The sequence below is a fragment of the Homo sapiens genome, chromosome 6 (genome assembly GCF_000001405.40).
Source record: "Homo sapiens chromosome 6, GRCh38.p14 Primary Assembly".
NCBI lineage: Eukaryota > Metazoa > Chordata > Mammalia > Primates > Hominidae > Homo > Homo sapiens.
In genome coordinates this window covers 106912888-106914660 of record NC_000006.12, presented here as the reverse complement: position 1 = coordinate 106914660, position 1773 = coordinate 106912888, and the positions used below count along the sequence as shown (strand labels likewise).

The 1773-nt window shown below is 43.3% G+C and overlaps 1 annotated feature.

The window, feature by feature from the left end:
• Positions 827-896: an enhancer, noted in NCBI's record as "active region_24897". NCBI's record gives its function as "activates an Ori minimal core promoter by ATAC-STARR-seq in GM12878 lymphoblastoid cells {active_cell/tissue: GM12878}" and the evidence as "EXISTENCE:reporter gene assay evidence [ECO:0000049][PMID:35858748]".

The window sequence follows — 1773 nt, the reverse complement described above, 5'->3', positions numbered from 1 at the left end:
TCCCTACTAAAAATACAAAAAATTAGCCCGATGTGGTGGCAGGTGCTTGTAATCCCAGCTACTCAGGAGGCTGAGGCAGGAGAATCGCTTGAGTCCGGGAGGTGGAGGTTGCAGTGAGCCAAGATCGCACCATTGCATTCCAGCCTGGGCAACAAGAGTGAAGCTCCGTCTCAACAAAATAAAATAAAATAAAAAAGGCCGGGCGCTGTGACTCATGACTGTAATCCTAGCACTTTGGGAGGCTGAGGTGGACGGATCACAAGATCAGGAGATCGAGACCATCCTGGCCAACATGGTGAAACCCCATCTCTACTAAAAATACAAAAAATTAGCTGGGTGTGGTGGCGCATGCCTGTAGTCCCAGCTACTCAGGAGGCTGAGGCAGGAGAATCGCTTGAACCCAGGAGGTGGAGGTTGCAGTGAGTTGAGATCGTGCTACTGCACTCCAGCCTGGTGACAGGGCGAGACTCAAAAAAAAAAAAAAGATGACCAGATGGTCCCTCCTGTCATGAGCTTTCATTCTGTTGGTAAAGACAGACATCAAACAAATGAGAACAAAGAATGTGATGTGTGAAAGATAGAGAAGGCCCAGGGTGCTGAGAACCTAACAGGGGCCTAGTCCAGCCCAGGGCCAGAGAGGTCTTTTTCAGGAAGTGAAGTTTAAATTGAGACTGCAAGAGAAGTAGGAAACAGCTAGGTGAAAGGAGGTACAAAGCAAACAGGAGCTGAGGTCACAGGACCTGTGTTCCAAATCTGGCTCTGCCGCTTTCTAGTTAGGTGAGGAGGGGAGAGTTCCCACAGAAACTCTGAGTTACATCTTGAGTCATCCTCTTAGCATGTAAGAGACAACTTTGTGAACTTTCCTCTTGATGATAATGTGGAGGTGTCACTTTTTTTTTTCAACCACTCTGTGAGGTCCTATAAGTATCTTTTACTTTACCTCAGCAATTGTTTGTTTGTCTTCTAGTGAACAATGAGATTCGGGTAACGTATCTGATTTCTGTTCTGTCTCAGGCGCCTGGAAGTTCAGAGACAAATCTGAGCCTCTGTTTAGTGACAGAGTACGGCCTTATGCAAACACGTGTTCTAATTTTCTCCTGGTCATAACCTTTTAAAACATTTTGCATTTTTTTGACTTTATATTTTATTGAATATATTTCTTATATCCTATAGACTACTTAAATATTTTATGGAATAAAGTAGATTATAAACAAAAAATAGGTTATATAGAAATATACAAAACTGTAGAAGGGCATAAAAATAAAAACTTCAGAGAAACCACTCCCTTATTACTAAGTTTCTGGGTCACCTAACAGGCCCAGCTGCTTCTCCTTCCTTCTATGACAACTATGTGTCCTGTCCAAAGCTTCCTGACTCACCCTGTTCCTCAGGTTTTCCTTCTTCTTTCAGGCTGCCCCAGCCCATGATTAACTGTTGTTCCCAAAGCAAACACACAGATCCTTTTTGCTTTAGGCATTTTGAAAAGGTTGTGTTACTGGAAAGTATACTAGGAAGATAATAGAAGAAGCAAACATGAGGAAATTAAAAAGATTCCAGAAAGTTCCCAAGGCCTTACTTGTTCCTGGTCCCTGACTTATGCTTTCTCACTTTCTTTCAATATGGCACTTAGACGAGCCTTTTGAATTTCTGTTCAGCCTTTTCCTCCCACAGTATAACACTTAAAACTCTCTTCCTCATGGTGTGCACTTAGCCCCTTTAAAGGTTCATCTTCCACTCCAGAGGCCCATGAGGACAATCAAGGCCAGACAGTGG